A 25959-nucleotide genomic window follows, 5' to 3' on the forward strand; every position below is an offset into this window, starting at 1 on the left:
GCCATCAGAAAATAGAGAAAAGATGCTCTCTTCCCAGCTTCCAAATGACTGCCTGGAAGGATGTAGGTAGATAGTGTGTGATTTGGACATATGGATGCTGGAACACTATCCATGCTACAGCAGTGGATCCTAGTCTGCTCCTTATTTAACAGATAGGAGGGTGAACTCAAAGTGTACAAAATGTGTCTGCTCAGAGAACATCTCCAGAATATAATTCTAGCTCCCTCAAATCCTTCCCCACAACAGACATTTCACATGCTTTGCTGGTTACTTCTGCAGAATGAAGAGTTGTTTTATCTCCAATCTGAAATCACATTCCTGAAGAACTCAGATTAAGAAGATAGACAGCCCCTTATTAGAATGCATGTTGTGCTGTAACTGCTGAAATGAGACTGTGGGTCCCCTTTCATTCTATAGCTGCGTAAACAAGTTATAAGAAGATGCTGACTTATCAGGGATAGCAGGTAGCTACATTTCTTATTTTTGACTTCTTAAGGAAGAATCAAGAATCTATTACAAGCCTGACTTTTTTTTTTTTTTAATGGAGTCTCCCTCTGTTGCCCAGGCTGGAGTGCAGTGGTGCAATCTCCACTCACCGCAACCTGCGCCTCCTGGGTTCAAGCAATTCTCCCACTTCAGCCTCCTGAGTAGCTGGGTCTACAGGCATGCACCAGCACACCTGGCTAATTTTTGTATTTTTAGTAGAGACGGTGTTTCACCATGCTGGCCAGGCTGGTCTCGAACACCTGACCTCAGGTGATGCACCCACTTCAGCCTCCCAAAGTGCTGGGATTACAGGCATGAGCCACAGCACCTGGGCCAAGTCTGACATTTTTTAAACAAACATATAAGGTGACCTTGGTCTCTAAATTAGCAGTGCAATGGTAAAGCCTCAATTTATCATAAAGTAACTGCCCCCTATAACTTCAAACTCAAGGTTAGCTTTCCCATATTAAAGCTCGCACAGACTTGAGATTAGGCCTACTTTGGGCACTCTTCCCAAGAGCTACTGCCTCCAAAATGCTCTATGAACTTGATCATCAGGATGAATGTATTTGAAAATAAGTCATGGGAATTTGTATAGTTTAGTAAATAGGTAAAAAAGAAAAACAAAAACAAAAACCGTATTGAAGCTTTTTTCCATACACCCTAATCTTTACAACTTAATTATTTTTTTCCCTTTTGATCCTGGGGGAATTCACCCAAACTTGCCATCCTGAAATGGTCTCCAGAGTAGAGTGACTCCCAGTAGAGTGACCAACTATCCCAATTTGCCTAAACTGAGGAAGTTCCCTGGATGTGAGAGTTTTGGGGCCAAAATTGGGAAGTTCTCAGGCAAACCAGGACAAGTTAGTCACCATTAGAGTAACGTAAACAATGACCAAAAATCCAGTTGCCAAATATGTGGAGATGGAGCAAGTAAGGGTAAAAAATGTAAAGGAAAGAGAGTAATAATGAATTAGTATATATCACACTTGTGGTCACACGTAGCAATAGTGGATAACTACTAGCTCTGAAACCACAGACTGGCTTGGTTAGGGAATACTGTTGAAGCCTCAATCGGAGTCCAGATTATCAAGTGAAGTAGTACTTTCAATGAACCTAAGGTCTTTGAGTAGAAGTCCCCAGAAGAGCAGTCACTGCCCCCAAGCTATTCATTAACAGAAGAAAATTCCCAGACCAAATGGGAATGCCAGGGGTGTACCTAAGTCTCCCACAGTGTTCTGATTGAGAACGTGAAACATCTCTGGATAAAGCATCAAGTTGGCTAGTGTAGATACAACACATTCAGACAAAATGATAAGAATTTCAAAAGTAAGTAGCTGCAAGGAAAATATTTTGTCAACATGAAAGATCTTAATGTTTACGTTGATAAATTTTAAAATATTGCCCCATCATGTCATAGTTTTATAAGATTTTCACTACTCAAATTACGCAGTGGGTTTCCTTCTGCCCAGAGCATCTCAGCAGAAAGGGATCAGAGATCATGTGATTTCTGATTTGGAAAATAAATCAGTTTTATTTGACAATCTGCCATGACAGACTGATTTCTGTGTTCATTGTTTACCTTTTTCTGTAGCAAAATCAGCTTTAGTATTATTTCATCCCAAAATGAATAATTTAAACACTAAAAAATTCAACCAAGTCAACCCGTTTTATTGGTGTTCTGGTTTGGTTGAATCTTCCTTTTTCTTTCTCCCTTTTGTCCCCTCTCCTAATAGAACTAAATGGTTTATTTTGACCAAGGTATACACAGTTTGGTTTACTCGGACACCAAAGCTGTATCAAATCAGGGAGAAGAATGAGAGAGAAATGCAAATAGAACTCCTGTGCCAGGGTAATCAGTAACACTTGTCCACGGCATTTCTGTAGGACTACCGAGTGAATATTTTTCTGAGACAACAGTGGAATGATTCACGGCTGGCGTACAGTGAGTACCCAGATGACTCCCTGGACTTGGACCCATCCATGCTAGACTCCATTTGGAAACCAGATTTGTTCTTTGCCAATGAGAAGGGTGCCAACTTCCACGATGTCACCACTGACAACAAATTGCTACGGATTTCGAAAAATGGCAAAGTGCTCTACAGTATCAGGTAAGCCTCCATTGGCTGCACATGTTCGCATCTCCATTTCTCCACTAATGTAGAGCTGCCTGATTCTGCAGGGTAGGATGTATATGAATATTTGACTTTTGTGGTTTCTTGTTTATCATTTGAATCTTAAAGTTGGTGGAGAGTGTCAGAAGTCCCTTTGGTCTCATAAATGTGATTCTCCATAACAAGAATGTATTTGGTAGGATGGTACATGGTTAATGGTATTGTGTAATCACCTGCACAAATGTGTTCCTGATTGCTTCAGTAAAGGAAGTACAGGCTATTCCGTTCAATTGCCATTAAGCATAATATACAAAATCTCATTTCAATAATTCTGCCATTCTGTAACATTCAAGCATGCACACACACACACACACACACACACACACACACACACACAAATTCAATAGCTCAGCATAGTCATTAACAACATACTTATAGCTGGATACATGGAAACCTGGTTCCAATGTCAGCTTTGCTTCTAAGTAAACACGTGACCTTGATCTCTTAACTTTTCTTGGACTTGGGCCTGGGACAGACAATTGCTGAGATCCATTTTTGCTTTTATATTCAAATATGATCTTCTCCAGAAGTGTTATCACTCTAGGCTCAAAATAATCTCCCCCTTTTCTGAACTCATATAGCAGTTTCTTTTTTTTTTTCCATATTTTTTTATTATACTTTAAGTTTTAGGGTACATGTGCACAACGTGCAGGTTAGTTACATATGTATACATGTGCCATGCTGGTGCACTGCACCCACTAACTCGTCATCTAGTATTAGGTATATCTCCCAATGCTATCCCTCCCCCTCCCCACCCCCACAACAGTCCCCAGAGTGTGATGTTCCCCTTCCTGTGTCCATGTGTTCTCGTTGTTTAATTCCCACCTATGAGTGAGAATATGCGGTGTTTGGTTTTTTCTTCTTGCGATAGTTTACTGAGAATGATGATTTCCAATTTCATCCATGTCCCTACAGAGGACGTGAACTCATCATTTTTTATGGCTGCATAGTATTCCATGGTGTATATGTGCCACATTTTCTTAATCCAGTCTATCATTGTTGGACATTTGGGTTGGTTCCAAGTCTTTGCTATCTAATAGCAGTTTATCTGTGACTCTGTAAGGCTCTTATTTTTTCCTGCCTTATTATTTTGGTTATTGCTGTTCATGAGTATAGCATAAAAACATGGATTTCTGGAATTAGACAAATCTAGAATCAAATCGAAGCTTTGCCACTTACTAAGTTATGTAATCTATGACCCTCAGTTACCTTAATTTTAAAACGGGAAACTCCATGTTTATCTCTGTATATTCTTGTGTGAATGAGTAATGTAGTGGTCAGCAAATATTTTCTGTAAAGGGCCAGATATTATCTTAAATGTTGCAGACCAGATTGCCTCTGTTGCAACTACTCAACTCTATCATTATAGCTCAAAAGCAGCCATAGGTAATATGCAAACAATTGGACACGGCTGTGTCTCAATAAAATATTATTTACAAAAATAGATGGTGGACTGGATTTGGCCCTTTGGCTGTAGTTTGCCAACCCTTGATATAAGATATATTAAAAATACTTGCTGCAGTGCCTGACACAGAGTAAATGTTTGATAAATAAAATAATGGCTATCTGTATTTTAAAATCAGTTCTTTTTTTTTAATGCTCAACATCTCTAATCATTAGAAAAATGCAAATAAAAACCACAATGAGACACCATCTCACACCAGTCAGAATGGCTATTATTAAAAAGTCAAAAAATAACACATGCTGGTGAGGTCACAGAGAAAACGGAACACTTATACACTGCTGGTGGGAATGTAAATTAGTTCAGCCATTGTGGAAAGCAGTTTGGCAATTTCTCAAACAAAGCAGAATTACCATTTGAACAGGCAATCCCATTATTGGATATATACCCAAAGGAATATAAATCATTCTACCATAAAGACACATGCACGTGTATGTATGCTCATTGCAGCACTATTCACAATAGCAAAGACACAGAATCAACCTAAATGTCCATCAGTGGTAGACTAGATAAAGAAAATGTGGCGGCTGGGCGCCGTGGGTCACGCCTGTAATCCCAGCACTTTGGGAGGCCGAAATGGGTGGATCACGAGGTCAGGAGTTCAAGACCAGCCTGGCCAATATGGTGAAACCCCGTCTCTACTAAAAAATATAAAAAATTAGCCGGGCATGGTGGTACGTGCCTGTAGTCCCAACTACTCAGGAGGCTAAGGCAGGAGAATCGCTTGAACCTGGGAGGCGGAGGTTGCAGTGAGCCGAGATAGTGCCACTGCACTCCAGCCTGGGTGACAGAGTGAGACTCTGTGTCAACAAACAAAAACAAAAACAAAAAACCAAACAAAACAAAAACTGGCACTGTACACCATGGAATACTACACAGACATAAAAAAGAATGAGATCATATCCTTTGCAGCAACATGGTTGGAACTGGAGGGCATTATCCTAAGTGAACTAACACAGGAACAGAAGAATACTGTTCAGTGAATAGTATAGAATAGTACAGTACTGTTCAACTGAACATGCAGTACAAACGCTGCATGTTCTTACTTATAAGTGGGAACTAAGCATTGAATATATATGGACACAAAGAAGGGAACAACAGACACTGGGACCTACTTGAGGGTGGAGGGAAAGAGGAGGACGAGAATCAAAAAACTGCCTTATAGGGTACTACGCTTATTGCCTGGGTGGTGAAATAATCTGTACACCAAACCCCGATGACATGCAATTTACCTATACAAGAAACCTGCACATGTATCCCTGAACCTAAAATCAGCGTTTAGAAAAATTAATGTTCCTTTTCAGTAGTAAGCTCTTAGCTCTTTCAATTCAAGATATTTGGTTTTTGTCTTTTTTGTAACATCTACCAAATGTCTAGGACAATGTACTGTATATGAGAGACAGTACATTGAATAAAGTATTGGCATTTAAAGGTCCTTAACAGAATGCCCCCTTTCGCTATATAAATTTATTACCAAAAAAGTAAACAGCTAGTCTCCTTGCAAATAATTTTTCCAAGTCTGCAGACTCACCATCATCACCTCATTTGACAACTCTGTATATGATTTGGTTCTGTATTGTAAATTCCATTCTTATACCTAGTAATTTCACAGCATGCTGATGGCTGACAGCCCCAATGTCTTGTGGAATAAAAGAAGCTGCTCATTTGTAAAAAGCGGCAAAGTCACTGCTTGCACAGAAAACCAGGAAACTTCCCCCAGTGACCATTCATTTTTAAGGAAACACAAAACATTCTCCATGGTGATGTGTTTGGTTGGTGTAAAATGCAGTACTGAGCACAACATAAATTGATCGGACCTGAGAAAATGGGACATATGTGGAGTGTGGTGCTAGGAAGGAGAGTTATAAAAAGCAGCACAGAGCATCAGCTGCCCCAGCTAATCCTCCAGGCCTTGGGTGGCATTTGCTCTAATGAATACCAGGCATCACACACTGCTGAAATAAAATCAGATTGTAGTTGCTGTTGTTGCTTTCTTGCTGTTTTGTGAAGGTCTTTACATTCTAGAATCATGAAGAGTATGATGCTCCCAAGCCTAGACCCAGAGGCAATTCTTGTGTCTCTGGTTCCCAAGCATAGCACATTACAGGCCCTGAAATGCCCTGACAACTGTTTTGGATTAGGTGGGGATTGTCCTGTGCAGGCTATTTTATACTTTTCTTTCATTGTGAGTATTTTCTGAAATCAAAATAAAAAACCTTGGTAAAGGAGAATTGGGGATATCATTTTAAGAAAATACAAGCTGTTCGGAGATTTGAACTGCAAGAATCTAATTATTTGCCTAGAAGGGCTTTTGATGAACCAGATACTGTACTGGGTCTAGAGATCCAGAACTAAGTAAGATGTGGTCTTTCCCCTGGAATGACTTCAGTCTAACAAGGCAGGTGGATGCATGATAAATTAAGTAATAGGAATAAATAGGAAACAAGGAAAACAAAAGTGGCTCTAATTTTGCAAATGAAGTATGTGATCAAAATATTGTCAGAATTTGGCAGTTGGCATCCACAGTCCTGTTTGTCAGTGGGCTCAATTTAACTAGAGGTCAAGGAGTAACTAATGCTAATATATGCCCAGCTGCAGGTTTGACTCAAATTTAAGGCCAAGGGGGGTACAGTTGTGTCCATGTCTTAAAGGTGCTGAAAAGTTCCTGCTGACGTTCCATTAGAAAGTAATTTCCCTGCATACTCAGGTTTACAACACAAATACTCCCAGGAGAGGAAATCCACTGGCTTAAATCCATACTAAACTCTAAAGAGCTGATATAAAATTTATTTCTGAGGATGAACATACTGGATTCCTAAGAGGAGAAATGGGATAGAATGAAGAAAGGTTGGGAAAGATACAAGGAAGGGGCTAGAAGTACCAAATAAAAACCCTAAAACTGTCTCCACATACACAGTAAATACTTAAGCAATTATTTAATTATGTAAGCATGTGGTCCACATTTTAAAAAGTAATGTTCTGTCTTGATACTCTGTATTTGCATTTTCCTGAAACCTAAAGCAAATATCAATTGCATTTAATCTGGGAAAAATTCCATGCTTTTCTTGGCTTTGTAGGTGTAGGGGTAGAATTAACTCTATATGGGCACCAAAGCCCAAGGTTTTGATTGTCAAACAAAACAAATATAGAAATATACAGTCCACTGATTTCATAACAAGCACGATCACCTTTCCTAATACTTCATATATCTGTATTCCAAAAGGTAGGGGTCTAAAAAAAAAGAGAAGGCAGTAGACCAGAACTCCGTAAGTGTCATCCTTATGAACACTTGGGGTACCTTGACTAAAATTCAAACAAATCTTTTAAATAGGAAGGAAAGGCCTTATCTCAGTGTTAATAAACCTTTTATCCAGTGATGTAGGACACAATCTTTGTTGATGAAAAAGTACCAAATCCATTTCTGTCCATTTTTCTTTAATATTCATTCTCTAATGTTTTATCTTACTCTCTGTTTTTTCCTAAGTTGTTTGTTGACCTGCCCCATTAATTATTGATCATCTCTGACAAGAGTATACATTTTGATTTGTAAACCTTCTTCAGAGAAAGTCAATAATCCAGAGAATAGAGATCAAGTACTGAGTAACATGTGGTCCTTCATCTGGGATGGGGAAAGAGTCAAATTCTAAATTCAGAGAGAGTCAAATTCTAAATTCACATTACTTACAATGAATCCATACTTGAATCCATACTGAAATAGTGAGGTGAGTCTTGAAGGTTGTACATATTATTGTTTAAACAATATTTGTTGAATTTAATATTGTGAGTTGGAATAAAGGTCAGGACATCATGGGATATGGTGGACAACATGAAAGAAAAAAGGAGAAGGTGAGCATTTTTGAAGAACAGCTCATCTCACATGCCCACAGTATCTTTGCTGATATTGTCTTCTTTTTAAAAATCCCATTGCTTCTGAGAATTTAGTCAGAAATATGACTTTTATAGAAGGATTTTTTTTAAATTTGAAGTTACCTTGTAAAATATCTAATCCAACACCCTTGTTTTGTTGATAAGGACGTCACAATGGAGCTAGTAAGTAGGAAAGCTAGGACAAGAATCAGGGCTCTTAACTTCTGTTTCAGTGCTGTCATTTCCTACCCCCACATTAATTCCTCATTTACTTCAACCCAAGTCCAAAGACACAAACACACACAATTCATGTTGCAGCAAAGGGCATCATTTCATGCTTTTTTATGGCTGCGTAGTATTCTATGGTATATATGTATCACATTTTCTTTAATCTACCATTGATGGGCAGCTAGGCTGGTTCCATGTCTGCTATTGTGGATAGTGCTGTGATGAACATACAATTTCATGTGTCTTTTGTAGAACAATTTATTTTCTTTGGGGTACACACCCAGGAATGGGATTGCTGGTTCGAATAGTATCTCTGTTGTAAGTTATTTGAGACGTCTCCAAACTACTTTCCACAGTGCCTGAACTGATTTACATTCCCACCAACAGTTTGTGTTTGCTTTTCTCTGCAGCCTTGCAGTATCTGTTGCTTTTTGACTTTTTGATAATAGCCATTCTGACTGGTGTGAGATGGTATCTCATTGTGGTTTTGATTTGCATTTCTCTAATGACCAGTGATGATGAACATTTTCTCCTATGTTTGTTGACCATGTGTATGTCTTCTTTTGAGAAGTGTCTGTTCATGTCCTTTGCCCATTTTTAATGGGGCTATTTGTTTTTTGCTTATTGATTGGCTTAAGTTCCCTATAGATTCTGGATATTAGGCTTTTATCAGATGCATAGTTTGTGAACATTTTCTTCTATTCTGTAACTTGTCTGTTTACTCTATTGATAATTTCTTTTGCTGTGAAGAAGCTCTTTGGTTTAATTAAGTCCCATTTGGCAACTTTTGTTTTTGTTATAATTGCTTTTGGGGACTTGTCTAAAAATAATTTTCCAAGGCCAGTGTCAAGAATGGTGTTTCCTAGCTTCTGTCTAGGATTTTTTTTTTTTTTTCTTTTGAGACAACATCTCACTCTGTCACCCAGGCTGGAGTGCAGTGGTGTGATCTTGGCTCACTGACAACTCCATTCCTGGGTTCAAGTGATTTTCTTGCCTCAGCCTGCCAAGTAGCTTGGATTATATGTGCATGCCACCATGCCCAACTAATTTTTGTAGTTTTAGTAGAGACAGGGTTTCTCCATGTTGGCCAGGCTGGTCTCGAACTCCCGACAAGTGATCTGCCCACCTCAGCCTCCCAAAGTGTTGGGATTACAGGCATGAGCCACTATGCTCAGCCCTGTCTAGGATTTTTATAGTTTGAGGCCATACACTTAAATCTTTAATCCATCTAGATTTAATTTTTGTATATAGTAAAAGGTGGTAGTCCAGTTTCATTCTTCTGCATATGGCTAGCTAGTCATTCCAGCACCATTTTTTGGGAAAAGGAGTCCTTTCCCCAGCTTGTTTTGTCAAAGATCAGCTGGTTGTGTGTGGCTTTATTTCTGGGTTCTCTATTCTGTTCCATTGGTCTATGTGTCTGTTTTTGTACCAGTACCATGTTGTTTTTATTACTGTAGCCTTATAGTACAGTTTGAACTTGGGTAGTGTGATGCCTCCAGCTTTCTTCTTTTTGCTTAGGATTGCTTTGGTTATCTGGGCTGTTTTTTGGTTCTGTATGAATTTTAGAATAGTTTTTTTTTCTAATTGTGTGAAAAATGACATTGTTAGTTTGATAGGAATAGCATTGAATCTGTAAATTGCTTTGGGCAGTATGACTATTTTAATGATATTCTTCAAATGTATGAGCATGGGTTGTTTTTCCATTTAGTTGTGTCGTCTCTGATTTCCTTCAGCAGTGTTTTGTAGTTCTTGTAGAGATCTTTCTCCTCCTTGGTTAGCTGTATTCCTAAGTATTTCATTTTTTTTGTAGTTATTGCAAATGGTATTGTGTTCTTAATTTTACTCTCAGCTGGAATGTTATTGGTGTATAGAAATGCTACTGATTTTTGTACATTGATTTTGTGTCCTAAAATTGTACTAAAGTCATTTATCAATTTAGGAGCCTTTTGGCTGAGTCTTTAGGGTTTTCTAGGTATAGAATCATATCATTAGCTAAGAGAAATAGTTTCAGTTCCTCTCTTCCTATTTAGATGCCTTTTATTTCTTTCTCTTGCCTGATTGCTCTGGCTAGGACTTCCAGTATTATGTTTAATAGGAGTGGTGACAGAGGACATCCTTGTCTTGTTCCAGTTCTCAAGGGGAATGCTTCCAGCTTTTGCCATCCAGTATAACGTTGACTGTGGGTTTGTCATAGATTGCTCTTATTATTTTGAGCGATGTTCCTTTGATTCCTAGTCTGTTGATGGTTGTTACCATGAAAGGATTTTGAATTTTATCAAAAGATTTTTCTGTGTCTATTGGGATGATCATATGGTTTTGCTTGAACCTTCCTCAAAATATATGCATATTTTGGCAGGGCGCGGTGGCTCATGCCTGTAATCCCAGCACTTTGGGAGGCCGAGATGGGTGGATCATGAGGTCAGGAGATCGAGACCATCCTGGCCAAAATGGTGAAACCCCATCTGTACTAAAAAAAAAAAAAAAAAGTACAAAAATTAGCCGGGCATGGTGTCGGGTGCCTGTAGTCCCAGCTACTCAGGAGGCTGAGACAGGAGAATCACTGGAACTCAGGAGGCGGAGGCTGCAGTGAGCAGAGATTGTGCCACTGCACTCCAGCCTGGGCAACAGAGCGAGACTCTATCTCAAAAAAATATATATATATATATGTATAGTGTATATATATACACACATATATGTGTGTGTATATATATGTGTATATATATGTGTGTATATATGTATATATATGTATATATATATGCATATTTTGTGCATTAGGTTATTTAAGCTATTTTTTGTTTGTTTGTTTAGAGGAAAAGGTCCTTATCTTTATTAAAGAAGCTATGACCCTCCAACTGTTAAGAGCTTGAGCTTTGTTTCCAGATTTACTGCATGCCTCCAGAATGGGTATGCCTAAAGGTGAAGTGATTAAGGAAATATTGTTTGCTTTCAGTGTGTTATTAAACTGACCAGTTATCTGGGGGCCTCATACTACCATCTAATAACCCATAAATAATTATAAAATTGCCCCTCAACAATAGCACCCCATATCACCAAAGCATCTGTTTACCTCATCATCAACCTTTATCTGACCTAAAACTTATTGGCACCTAAAACTTTATGGCATTGGAGGTGATTTGCTTGTTAATCCCTTTTGATTCTATTTGCAATTCTGGGTGTTGATAATTCAGTATTCTGCCTTCCCAGTAGTACTTGAGTTGTAATAGAGAACTCTTGGGGATTGACACGCTTTTCCCTCTGATGATAGATTACAGGCACCACTGAGAGTAGGTATAGTGCAGATTTCTAGACAGACATCCAACGATGTTCCTCCAAACAATCTTGTCTAATGACCAACTCTACCCACATACATAAAAGGCTAGCTTTTCTCACATGGCCTCCCATCCTTGACTCATCCTATAGTCTGATGCAAGAACTTCAAAAGATTCTAACTTTAGTTATATATTTTTTTATGGCATAGGGAATAAGGACATTCTCTATTTAGATGTCAGAGCCAAAAATAAAATGTACAATGAACTGAGACCTGCCTTAAATGTTGCCAGTGGTGTTGCTTTGATTACCTTACTCTCAATTTTGATGAGACACATAAGCCCGTATTTTCTATTAGAAGGCAGCTATGAAAAACTATGATTTCTTTTCGCTGTGCATATTTGGACCATTATTTATCTTTATGTTCTATAATCCAGGCAAAATTACATTCTCATTTTCTAACTCTGTGTCCAAATCCTCATTAGTATTGTGACTTAAGTAATTAATGTCTGTAACATAAGCGTCCACATCAGAATTAAGCAGTCTTCAGAGAAGTGCTGGGAAATGCCATGGAAACCACAATGATTCCATTCTTCCTAGAGGCGAGCAAGGTCGGGAGGGTGGGAAGCACTGGCATGCACATATGCTAGTGGATTCAGCAGGAGCTGTGGTGTGGAGGGGCTGTTTTTGGAGAGGGGCTCTTTAAAAAGGTACAGCTGAGGGTAGAAATATGAAGGTCCAGAAAGTGCGTTGTATGTATGACAGACTCTCATAAAGTATGGAAAGCTTTGTTGAGCTCCTGCTCAGGTTAGAAATACGCAAACACTATGGGACCTAATATTGGTTCAGACACAACAGAGTAAGGATCTTGTATTAGTCAGGGTTCCCTAGAGGGACAGAACTACAAGTTACATATTACATATATTTATGAAAGGGAGTTTATTAAGGAGAACTGACTGACTCACACCATCACAAGATAGAGTCCCATGATAGGCTGTCTGCAAGTTGAGGAACAAGGAAGCCAGTGGTGGATCAGTCTGAGTCCCAAAACCTCAAAAGTACGGAAGCCGACAGTGCAGCCTTTAGCCTGTGGCCAAAGGCCCAAGAGCCCCTGGCAAACCACTGGTGTGAGCCCAAGAGTCCAGAAGCTGAAGACTTGGAGTCTGATGTTCGAAGGCAGGAAACATCTAGCACAGGAGAAAGATGAAGACCGGAAGACTCAGCAAGTTGGCTCTTCCATCTTCTCCTGCCTGCTTTATTCTAGCCGTGCTGGCAGCTGATTAGATGATGTGCCTAGCCAGATTGAGGGTGGGTCTGCCTCTCCCAGTCCACTGACTCAAATGTTAATCTCTTTTGGCAACACCCTCATAGACATACCCAGGAACAATACTTTGCATCCTTCAATCCAATCAAGTTGACACTCAATATTAACCATTACAGATCTTATGCTTGTTTGGAGGAAAGGAGAGACTTGATCAATGAAATACATGGCAGCTAGCATGACCACTTGTCCTTAACTGTTTACGTGACTGGACTAGCAATAGCAACCAGTAGGTTTTCTTCCATTTAGAGGTAACCTTACATTTCATTAACATTCATCAGTTTGCTCTTCAGGCAATGGTACAAAGAACAGAATATTGAGAAGATGGCTCAGGGCATTGTGATCTCCACACTTCCTTTCATCATTTACTGTATCTCCCAGGATCATAGAACAGCCTTTCCAGCTCCATAAGTTTATCATTCTGGGTCTCAGTTTCCTCTATAAAATGAGACTGAACCAGACACTTAGACCAAGTATGAGGCTCCTTCTAGCACTATTATAAGTCTGTAACTCAAAATAACGTCCCTCTCCTTCCCAAACCACAAAACACTTTCCTGATGAGTAAATAAGAGTGCATTCTTCATGTCCCTTAGGGCTTGAGTCAGCAGAGGAGATTCAGAATTTCAAGGTGCCTGTCTTAAACTACTTGGATCTTTGAACCCTTTTCTCCTGAATTAAATATACAACTCCTGAGAAGAGGAACCTGATTTTGGAGTAGGTTAGGGAGGTTTGGACTACCTGTAATTTAAGAGGCAGCGTTAAAACATTCAACATGGCCGGGCAGAGTGGCTCACACCTGCAATCTTAGCACTTGGGAGGCTGAGGAGGGTGTATCACTTTAGCTCAGGAGTTCAAGACAAGCCTGAGCAACATGGCAAAACCCCATCCCTACAAAAAATACAAAAAAACTAGCTGGGCTTGGTGGCGTGTGTTTGTAGTCCCAGCTACTTAGGGGGCTGAGGCAGGAGGATAGCTTGAGCCCAGGAAGTCGAGGCTGTAGTGAGCCAAGATCATGCCACTGCACTCCGGCCTTGATGACAAAGTGAGACTCTGTCTCAAAAAAAGAAAAATTCAACATATAGTTTACACAATGACAAATACTCAGTATCAAGTGCCCTGAGAAACTTCCCAGTCGTAAACTAGATCATTTGTACCCTCTGATTCAATCACCAGGAATATCTGTGAACTATTATTTTAGAATATGTTCATGAAACATAGGTTTATATACTTTTAGACAATTACACAAAGATGGTTGGCTGGGAAAATAATTGACTGAATATGTAGACTAAAGGAATCATGTGGTAGATTTGAGCCAGCAGAGTTGAAGAGCTAGTCTGCTATTATTACTCATCACCTGAACTTTCTCATGGCAGAAAGCCAAAGGAAAACCAGAGGTTCTGGTGAGGGTGCTCAACTTACATTAATGTGGGCTTCTACCTGGTCCACACTGCTGCTTTGAAAGGCTCCCTGGATGACATTAATACCAAAATAAACATGCATAATGTCACCATGGCTCTTATGAAACATATGAATTACTTTAGTTCATTCTCACAGCACATAATCCAAAGGAAAAGGTACTTTATTTTAAAATGGAAAAAAAAATGTGTCCATCTGCGTATCTCAGCAGTCTCTCCAACAAGTTTCTTCTCGCTTGTGGTGTTTAAAATTACAAACCAACATCTGTATCAAAGAGGATACGATATTTATCATTGGACAGTCATTAAAAGATTATTAAGTACGTATATTAATACAATTATGTGAAGTTCCACATGAGATATACTCTCAGAGCAAAGCCATCTCATTTCTGATTGATTGGTTATTTCAAATGACAATAAAATAAAGGTTTTATTTGATGTTTCATTTTAGTATGGATATTTTGCTAAACTTGAGCAGTCAGATGAAGGATAGAAAGCAAAAAGTATGCTAGGGGATTAAAGACAGAATTCTATTGGGGTGGGACAAATGTCAGTTCTGAGGGTCAGGAATACTTGGATTCAAATCCAATTTTACTAAATGACCATAAAAAGTCATTTAACCTTTCTTTGACCTGCAGTTTTTCTCAGTTCCAGATTCACAATAAATGTTCAATGAATGTCTTAATTATCCCTGAGTTGGCTGTAGGATAAAAGGGAGGAAGTAAGGGCGACAACGCCCCTTACCTTCCTTAACACATACGTATGGACATACTTGTACCATTCAGGCTCCACTCACTTTCCACACTTAGTCCAAAGCAGATGGATACTCTCCTTGCCTTGAGTTTCCTCTTTTTGGGAGACATGTAGCTCATAACAGAGGTGACAGTTGCATCTACTTTCAGATAATAGTTTAGCTGATGCTGTTCCTCCCCTTTAGCTGCTTGTTAAAAGTAAACTGAGGAATTATGCTTGGTTTCAAAGTGTTATCCAGTCAAGGATGGACCATCCTATCAACTGACCAGAACTCCATTCTCTCTCCAAACTTTGCCACCAGAAACAGTGGTCAGTAAGTCTCCATCAGTTACCACAGTGGAAGTCTTTTTAACGCAGCAAAATATCAGCCAGGTAACACAATTTTGCCCTCAGTTGTCAACAGGTACAAGGTTACTTTGGTTTTCTCAAAACGGTATCTGCAGTTCATAAGCATGCTTACACGTGTTCTCTTCCCCCTTTTTTTTAAAGTAAAATGAACTCAAAACATTTTAAAAATTGCTACACTGTACAGTAACTTTCTCCCTTTCTTCACCTCAGTGCCACGATTAAATAGCTGTAATACTAGACGCATAGTAACAATGAAAAAGGCAGTTCTCATTATTTCAATGTGCAGGCTACATTTTACCTTCACCAATGTTTTGATATATAAATACTAGATGTGAAATGACTTTGAAATGTAAAATGTAACTAAGATGTGGGGGAGTATTGATTATTTAAATCTTTGGTAATTTGAGTTCCTTCCTCTGATGGTGTTCAATTTATCCCTCTTCTATTCAACACCTTCAAAACATTTTCATCCAGGAAATATCAAAGCATTTGGGAAAATTTTAGCTGCAGATTTATCAGTTGCTCTCCAAGTTGAATCCAATCCACATTTGGACTTAATTAACATGGGCCAACCATATGTGTGCACACTTTCTGAAAGGACCACACACAGATGGGAACAGATATTGTATTTTTGTCCTTCCCAGCTACTATTGCTCAGTGCATATGGGTATTTTTTATGATGCCTTTATAATATTTGGTAAACATGGACCTTCCTACTCAGCCACTGGGATTTTAGTCAGGGGAGAGGAGAATAGCTAATGAGCCAAGCAGTGTTGCCATTTATCTCCTCTACATCCCAAGGTCAACAGGAAAAAAAAAAAAAAAAAAAACAGCAAAAGTGCTTATTTGGAATTAATAGAGAGGAAAGAGTCTAACCATACAGCTTAGAAACAACCTGGGATTTAGGTCCAGCCTTAGACAATATTGAAAAAATGATGTGTCTCTGGTGCCCAGCCACACTGTTCTGAGCCCTGTTTTTCATCTAGTTTCATCTTTCCCTTTGATTTTCTTAGTATGACAGTCTGCCCTTGGAGATATCAATAGGGAATCTGGGAATCTATCAATTTATTTACACAAAGAAGGAAATGAGTAACAGTACTTGAAACACATTTCTCTTCCTAGCTTTGCATCTTAATAGTCAAAGAAGCCTTTAGCTAAATGTGTATTTATTTATTATATATAGCAGCTAAGAGTTGGAAGGTGTTTGAGCAAGGATATATTGGGACCTTTGTGGAACTCCCAACAATTTATACACCATTAATTTTTCAAACTTTGATTAGGTGGAAAGTCTTCCCAGGTGCCAAGCTCAGGGCTGGAGTAGGCAGGACTCTCTCTATGCATTACATGATGTAAGTTCAAAGTAGCCATTTAATCACAGAGCTTTCAGAAATGGTAAGTTAAAAAATTTCATTCCTTGCCTGCCTAACCAGACTTGGACCAATTCCTTTTGTTTTCTGTGAATAAAGATCCTCATGTGGGTACCTCAGGTTCAATTCAGGAGCATCAAGTCATGCTTCTCTGATAGACCAAAAGGGCCCTCTAAGGATCCAGGTATGTAAGAATAGATAACCTGCTCTACCCGATCACTGTGAGTGCTTATCTGGGCCCCAAGGGAGTAATTAAAGGTCCTTTACTTGATTCTGTTCACGTGTGTCTGATTCACATCATCAAAAGTATTGTCTAAGTGGGAGAGTTGGAAACAACTTCGAAAAGTTCAATAATAAATTGAAACTATTAGGATACATATCTGCAATTCTGATATTAAGTTGTGATCTCCTTCAAGAGACACACTGTCTTATTTTAAGTGTCTGGTGCCTGGTGCCCAATAAATATTTGCCAAAATATTGCTGAATGGATGTATAATACTAAGTTACAGCCCAGATGCAGTCCTGCTTAACACCAATCCCTCCACAATAGGACCTAGAGCTAGTCTTCCCATGTACTCTGTTCTTTATGACCAGTACCATGAGATTTCCTAAAATTTTTGTTGTGGTTCATTCAATGCAGGTTGCAGCCACCTCCCTAACTTCTTTTGAAATTTCTTGGTGGCCTATTTTCCAGACATCAGAGACAGTAATCTGATATGCTGCCATCGCCCTGAGTAGAGTTCACTGCCTACTTTTGGCCTTTGCACACTGGCATGTGTTAAAAGGCATGATGGTCTTGGCTTCTTCTCTATCTTACCTAGAAACTGTCCTCCTAACCCTCTTAGCAGCTCTCCCAGTTTCCTAGCCACATCTACCATATTCTTGGTTGCCAGTGGACTGATTTTGGCTTCACTGCCCTGACTTAACCAGTATACCTCTCCAATGTGACTGAAGCCCATGATTAACACCCCCAACTTGTATCATTACCCCTAGTCCAATCACTTAGCAGCCTACTTGAGGCTAACTGTCCTACCCTAATGTCGAGAGGCTGAGGGAGGAGAATCGCTTGAACTCGGGAGGTGGAGGTTGCTGTGAGCCGAGATCATGCCACTGCACTCCAGCCTGGGTGACAGAGCGAGACTCTGTCTCAAAAAGAAAATAATAATAATATTTCCCAAAGGAGTGCTACTGTTACTGAAAAATTATAGACCTCTTTCTTAAAACCTTCTCCTTTTTGTCTATCACATTGACAGAAATCAAAGTCATCCCTCGGGATATGCTGAAGTAGTACTCCTTAAAGTGTGCTCCAGGAAACCAGCATTGGTGTAACCTGGGCTGCTTTATCAAGAGGGCCTGATAATCTGCATTCTAACCAAGCCCATAAGACAATGCTTATGCCCACCAGAGACTGAAACCCACTATACTAAAAGATGGTTGATCAGACAACCAGCCTAGCGGTGTTTTTTATCCCAGTGATTTCCTAATCTTCCCTCCCTCTCTCCATGTGTGGGCTGTATTAATGATGCACTTTTAACTTGACTTCTAACTTGCCCCCAGGCTAATTTCACTTAAGGTCTAGGTGGGTTAAGATGACACTCTTGTTTGATACTTGATGCATCCTGTCAAATCTCCCTGACACTAGAATGTCACATGGTTCAGAAATTTCAAGGTACAACTGGGAGGAAAGATTCAACGGATCAACATGGTACAGGAAGGCCTTCCTTATGTTCTCAGTGAAAGAGTGAATAGTGTTCTAGGATGTTGGATGACAAAGCCCTATGGAAGCAATAAATGTCTCACCTATCTGCCCAGATTGCCAAGAAGTTCCTATTTTAAGAAGTGTTACTTGCACTTAAAGTTTTCATCATATTCAAGAGGGTAAATTTACCTATAAGAGGAAATCCTTCAAGCTGGTTGCCTTCACTTATAGTTTATAATCACAGAGATGTTGAGCAGGATGGGGATGTTTGCTGGGGGAGGCCCAGAGATTTAGTCAAGATCAAATAGCTCTTTATGGGTAAGCCAGGTCTATCACCCAGGTTTCTGGGTTGCCGGGAGAGGCTGGAGGAGTTTTTAAAACAACAAGCCATGAGGATTCTGGGTGTCTGAGGAAAAATGAAAGGGGTATCCCTGAGCAGGTACAAGGCAACTAAGGTGTCTATGACCAACTCTGCTGGCTTCATAGACAAAAGAGGATAATAAATTGGTAACAGATTATTTTCCTAAGGAGGAAATGTGAAATGTGATAGAGTGGGAAATAATAAAGGGAATTTGATGTCGGTTAAAGCTGTATTCAAATCTAACTTCGGTTGCTTAGTGGTTTTATGACTTTGGGAACAAAGCTTAAACTCTGTGAGTTTCAATTTGCTTATCTCACAAATGGAGGTAACACTGTCTGCCTTGTGTGATAATACTCAGTGATTATAAAATAATAAGAATGCTTGACCCACAGCAGGTGTTCTGAGAATTATGATTATTAATACTATTATCACCATCACTTTAATTTTTAGTTTGCCTAAGTATTTTCATCCTAAAGGAGCACCATAGGTTCCAGCCCCCAGATGTGTCCATGTGCCACTGAAAGTTTGTGGTGTGCTGCATAAAGAGAGATAAATGTGGTCCCAACAGAGGAACAGCAATACCCCCAAGACTCTCTTGTTCGTCCTGAAAGACACAGAAACATCCTCTTGTCCTTCCTCTCTGAACAAGAGAAACTATTGTAATCATTAGAATTAACTCTCCAAAAATAGCATGTTGTCAATCCTTGCTTTAGGGAAGCAGATCACTCATTAAAATTTGTATTTGTACCTGAAAATTCATCTTCTCTTCAAATGGTATTTTTCCCTCAAGAGTTTCATTGGGAATGAACTCCGAGTTCTAATTCTAAGTTCCTTATGAACCAGTAGTTGCTTTATGAGTCAAGCAGCCTTCTGTCTGCCATAACATTGTAATGTTAAATGATTAATTTACATTCTTCTAGCAATGTGAAAATAGCCCCAGCCATGGCCCTAACTAGTTGACCAAGGTTCCAGGACAAGTCAGCCAGGCTTCCTGGCATTCCTTTAACTTGATTTGTTTTATTTCTAGTGAGAATCTGCCAGCAACTTAGCGGAGGCACCAGGCAAGCTTTGACAGTCCTGTAATTTAGCAGCATCCTGTGGACTCTGATGACTGGCCTCGTCCCTTCTAAATCCTTTAACCTTTCCCATTTCCACAGAATAAAAGCCTGAAATTCTCACACAAATTTTAGGATACTGATTCATTAATTTGTTCAATAAATATTTCTTGGATACCTACTCTGGTCTAAGCAGAGACAGGGGTTCAGCCTTCATAAATCTTGCATTGTAGTAGGGAAGAAAAATAAATAAAAAATATAAAAATTACAATATTTGATTTAACAACTGTAAAGGTAACTGAAATAGTTTACAGTGTCTGCATCTATCAGTCATTTAAATTTTAAGTGAGGTATAAACCCAAGAGATGGTTTTATGAGCAAGGTGAACTCAATAGGAAAGTAGTAAGAAAGGGAAAGGGCAGGAAAGGTGAGATTTTGGGAGACGGACTTTCTTTGCTTTGTTCTATTCTTTGCCTTTAAAATAGGAATGCTTGCTCAGCCTTCTTACTTTCAGTAAAGAAGCAGGGCCTCTGTGAAGGAACTTTACTTCTTCCCTTGTGCAAACAGGAGCAGGGGTGCCCTGAATGCACAGTGGAGGAACGGACAATAATGCTTCAGGAAATGAGTTATTTAACAAAAATCAAAAGGAAGAGGGGCAGCCTCAGCTCAATGCCTTCATGTGCAATGGCCTTAATATTTCAGATTATCGGGGAAGAGGACAAATCTGACATGCTGGTCAATGTCTGCCAGTGAGAAGTCTGAGTGTCCAGGCAAGTTCGGAAGACTACTGGCTTCCCGACTAAAATAGTTAATTCTGTGAGACCCACCCAAAGTGGGTGAAAAGCCAGAGCAAAGGAGATAAAAATTGTTCACATTTTAGTATATTGGTGTATAGACATATCAGCCTTATTTGGTGCAATTTCTGCATGTCTGTACAAAATAATATCAAGTTCTTTTTTTCCCCCAAACTCATATTTAAAAAATCATAAAATAGCCTTTTTAAATAGCAAATGGGGTGGCACTTTTGTAGATTCTTGTCTGGGAGCATAATGAAATATTCTAGGGTGATGGGAATGCTCTAAATCTGGATCTGAAAGCTTGTTAAATAGGTGAATACAGATGTAAAAAGTAATTGCACTGTATCTTAAGATTTGTGTTTTTTTACTGTATTTAATGTACACTTCAGTAGAAAAAATGAAAAAGGAAAAAATAAGTAGCGGGAAAAACCTAGATCTTAGGCCTTTAGATGCACGGTAGACTGGATGTCATAAATGATGAGCTCTGAGGCTCAGGCAGGGACTTATTAGATCTTTACAATATCTTTCTATTTGCTCATGATTTAACAAACTGCGGAACTGTTAACTCTCCTCCTTATTATTGGCACCCACTGGGTTCCAGTACAAAACCTATCTAGAAAGGAAATTAGAAAAACAAAGAAGAAAAAAAAACCCACTGAGTTCTCAGCTGAGACAAGATTCAGGGATAGGGTCATGCTTGTTAGGTATTTCTCTCAGTGGGGTCTCCCATGCTGTTAATAGTTTTGGCTCCCAAAATGCTGAGCCCCTCTAGGATAGTTAGATCTGCCACAAAGGCAGCAATAATTGTGTGTGAGATCTCTGCTTCCTGAAGAAATGTGAAAAGGTCATTTTGCAAAACAGTCAAATTCAGCAAGCCTATGATTAGGAATATTAAAGTTGGGTTGTTTCCAGTAACAAACCAATATATAGTTGAATTCTGTGACATTCTTAAAAGAACATGTTCTTTTAAGCTGTGTTCATCTTCATTATTATTATTTTTAATTTCTTTAAACTTTTCAAAACTATAATGAAATTTCCAGATTTTTTGGTTTTGATTCACTGAAACCAATTATCCATATGCCATCTAATTATTTTCATATAATGAACATTTTTTTAATTTAAATTTTAATTTTTTGAATTGTAAATGGACAAATTATAGTTGTTTATGTTTATGGGGCACAAAGTGATGTTATGATTTAAGAATAGAATGTGGAGTTATTAAATCAAGCAAATTAGCATATCCATTCCCTCAAATACTTATTATTTTTTTATGGTAAGAACACTTGAAATTTACTCTCTTAGCAATTCTGAAATATACAATGCATTATTATTTACTATTTTCACCAAGCTATGCAATATATCTCCATGAAAGAAAAATTTATTCCTTCTGTCTAATTGAGGCTTTGTTTCCTTTTGCAGCACTATTCATAATAGACAAGTTATGAATGAACATATTTTTGTATGATGAAAATATTTATTTCTTCTTTGAAAAATAGAAAAAAAATAGATTCTCATTATGGTAATAATAATTTTAAGCTCATGGATCCTTTTGAATTTTTTTCACCTTTAATAAGGTGTCAGCTTTGTTGTTGTTTTTTTTTTTGTTTGTTTGTTTACTTTTTTTTGGTTCTTATATTCTGTCCTTATTTCAAAGAGTTCATGGCATTAATCTACACAAAATTGTGTTTTCAAAAAAACAAAGTCTTTATGCTGGGAACCAAAAACTAAATATCTGTATATCTATAGCTATATCTGTAAATGAACTCCATAATTGACAACAATTTTTCCTGCCTAAAATGTTATTTTTAAGTCAGTTGTTTAGAACTATAAGCCACATTTTTTCCTTTAGAGACATGTTTGGGTTCTCAGAATAGCCCACGGAAGGTAGCTAATTTATTTAGCAATGAATGTGAAATGCTGTAGGTTTGTGGCAAATTTTTAATAATCATGATATGATTGTAATAGCAAAAAATTACTGAACGAAATGGAATTTTGTAATTTTACCTTTCAGTTATTGTTTGAAGAAAGGCACAGCTAATTACACAAAGATGGGAAAGCTGTTATATGAATAGTTTTTATGGACATTTTCAAATAATTTATACTGCTCAATTCAGATAATGCAAGATAAAGAATAAAAACAAAATATGAATCATCCCACTAACCAAAAATATAATGGTGTGCTTATTTCCAAGATTTAAAACATGTTTTTACATTGCACTGTTTTATATCTTTCTTTTTCCAGTCATTATATTTTAATAATTTTGATGATTGTCAGCGTGGATTCTTTGTCTAATCTGACTTCAAATCGCAACCCTTTCCTTTCTTTAAAATACATGTGCTAAATTTTGTTTTGTTTGCTTTTACTTGAATAGATTGTAAAAATGAAGCAGAGAAAGGAAAAATAAAGGAAGCAGGAAGGCAGAGCAAGAATGAGCATGACAGCAAGGGAGAGTTTAGGCAACAGTGTGAGAATTCGAGGGGTCTTTGGATATAAAAGGTGTTTGAGATACGATGAACAGAATTTGAAGCAGTCAACTTTAGAAAAATACGGATTGTAGTATTAGGATCAAATGAGAATAAGCATCATCTTACCTACCTCATCATTTGGTTGATGACAAAACAAATGTTTAGCAAGTTTAAGGTCTTGTTTGGGGGAAGAGATAGTTTGAGGCAGTACTAGGAAGGGAACCAAGACTTACTAATTCTCAATCCTAATTTCCTTCCTTGAATCTTGGAGATACAGAAAAATGGGAGAGCAAGAGGTGTGCATCATTCCCTTAAGGATTAAAAAGGGAAATGGTGGAAATGAGATGGTAGCTCAACGAATATCCTGATATAAGGATCAGCCAGAGCTGACTGGAGTTCAAAAAAGTTAAGGAAAGAGGAAAGTGGAGCAGAGTAACCCCTTCTGGGTGCAGAGAGCTGAAGACTATGTACAAACCGTTGTTTGTTTGTTTGTTTGTTTGTTTGTTTGTTTGTTTTGTAAGATAATGAGTAGTTTGTTTTTCCTTTTTTTTTCAATTTTTTTATTTCCATAGGTTTTTGGGAAAAAGGTCCCATTTGGTTACATGACTTAAGTTCTTTAGTGGTGATTTGTGAGATTTTGGTGCACCCAGCACCTGAGCAGTATACACTGAACCCAATTTGTAATCTTTTATCCCTCACCTCCTTCCCACCCTTTCCCCTTGAGTCCCCGAAGTCCACTGTGTCATTCTTATGCCTTTGCATCCTCATAGCTTAGCTCCCACTTATGAGTGAGAACATGTGATATTTGGTTTTCCATTCCTGAGTTACCTCACTTAGAATAATGGTCTCCAGTCCCATCCAGGTTGCTGTGAATGCCATTAATTCATTCCTTTTTATGGCTGAGTAGTATTCTATCACATATATGTACCACAGTTTCGTTATCCACTTGTTGATTAATGGGCATTTGGGTTGGTTCCACATTTTTGCAACTGTGAATTGTACTGCTATAAACGTGTGTGCAAGTATCTTTTTCATATAATAACTTCTTTTTCTCTGGGTAGATACCCAGTAGTGGGATCGCTGGAACAAATAATAGTTCTACTTTTCTTTCTTTAAGGGATCTCCACATTGTTTTCCATAGTGGTTGTACTAGTTTACATTCCCTGTAGAAAGGTTCCCTTTTCACCACATCCATGCCAACATCTATTTTTTTTTTTTTTGACTTTTTTGATTACGGTCATTATTGCAGGAGTAAGGTGGTATCGCATTGTGGTTTTGATTTGCATTACCCTGATCATTAGTGATGTTGAGCATTTTTTCACATCTTTTTTGGCCATTTGTATATCTTCTTTTGAGAATTGTCTATTCATGTCCATAGCCCACTTTTTGATGGGATTGTTTGGTTTTTTCTTGCTAATTTGTTTGAGTTTATTGTAGATTCTGGACATTAGTCCTTTGTCAGATGTGTAGATTGTGAAGATTTTCTCCCACTCTGTGGGTTGTCTGTTTACTCTGCTGACTGTTCCTTTTGCCATGCAAAATAAACAAAAACATAAAGTAGGGGAAGGACACCCTATTCAACAAATGGTGCTGGGATAATTGGCAAGCCACATGTAGGAGAATGAAACTGGATCCTCATCTCTCGCCTTATACAAAAATCAATTCAAGATGGATCAAGGACTTAAATCTAAGACCTAAAACTATAAAAATTCTAGAAGATAACATTGGAAAAAACCCTTCTAGACACTGGCTTAGGCAAGGATTTCATGACCAAGAACCCAAAAACAAATGCAATAAAAACAAAGATAATATGTGGGACTTAATGAAATAAACCATGATCTTTAAATGGGTTTTTCTAGCTCAAGAACTACATGCTCCAGAATTATCAAAATTCTAGAATAAATGCTACAATATATTGTTAACCCATACATGCAGTAAATGAGAAGACTGTGGAGTTAAGCATTTGCCCATTTGATGTAAGAAGAACTAGCACTTACCATGATCAGTTATACTTATTACATCATTTCTGTCCTTGAAGCAAAGTCCAAGGTGTAATTCTAAAATAGTATAAACTTTATATCTTTTGGACATTGGCGTGGGTAAGAGCCTATTGTTTTTGTTATGTTATATCTCAGTGGTCTTGTTTATTCTAGTACAAAGCTGAGAACAGCACCATTTTGGGGGAAGGAGGGAGAATCAGAGGCTGGAAGATGAAAAATAGAGAGTAAGAGGTTATGGTGAAATACTACAATATTTAAAAAATTTATCAGTGACTGTTCTTCATTTTAAAAACAAAAAGCACTGCCCTGAGTTGGAGCTTAGATTTCATTATTTGAATCAATGTCACTTTGCTTAATGCCAAGTGTATTTTGTTTGTTTCTCAACAACTGGACTTCATAGATTTAAAAATGGTTTTTAATTTTTTTTTTGTTTGCTAAGACTCACCTTGACCTTATCCTGTCCCATGGACTTGAAGAACTTTCCGATGGATGTCCAGACCTGTACAATGCAGCTGGAGAGTTGTAAGTCACCACTGTTGAAATGACTCCCTGCTTGTTTTAACCAATGACCTGGTTCTTTTAGTATGTCATTAAAGAGAAAGGACCCTTACAACTCATTCCCTATATACTGACCAACCCCCAACATCCTAATGGAAAGACAAACCAAAGTGTGTGTGTGTGTGTGTGTGTGTGTGTGTGTGTGTGTGTGTGTGTGTGTCATACAAAATCTCATTATCAATACAGCATAGGCAACCTTTCAAAGTAAAATGCCAAATAACTTGCCTTTCTCCCCCCGCCCAAAAAATAGCCTGATTTGGTAAGCTTTTCATTGAAATGAAAATGTCTCCTGAGAAAATTAAAATTATTAGTCATTAAATCTTTATAGTGAATCA

At 38.2% G+C, this 25959-nt stretch overlaps 1 protein-coding gene across 8 annotated transcripts in view; it reads left to right on the forward strand.

Moving 5' to 3' along the window:
* GLRA2 (glycine receptor alpha 2) overlaps positions 1–25959 on the forward strand; it is a 283034-nt gene that overhangs the window by 130031 nt on the left and 127044 nt on the right. For all 8 annotated transcript variants that reach the window (XM_047441999.1, NM_001171942.2, NM_001118885.2 and 5 more), the window contains 2 exons: positions 2374–2597; positions 25506–25588. In XM_047441999.1, coding sequence (XP_047297955.1) covers positions 2374–2597; positions 25506–25588 — 307 coding nt within the window. The remainder of the gene's footprint in view (positions 1–2373; positions 2598–25505; positions 25589–25959) is intronic.

This window comes from Homo sapiens, chromosome X (genome assembly GCF_000001405.40).
Source record: "Homo sapiens chromosome X, GRCh38.p14 Primary Assembly".
NCBI classification, from domain to species: Eukaryota; Metazoa; Chordata; class Mammalia; order Primates; family Hominidae; genus Homo; species Homo sapiens.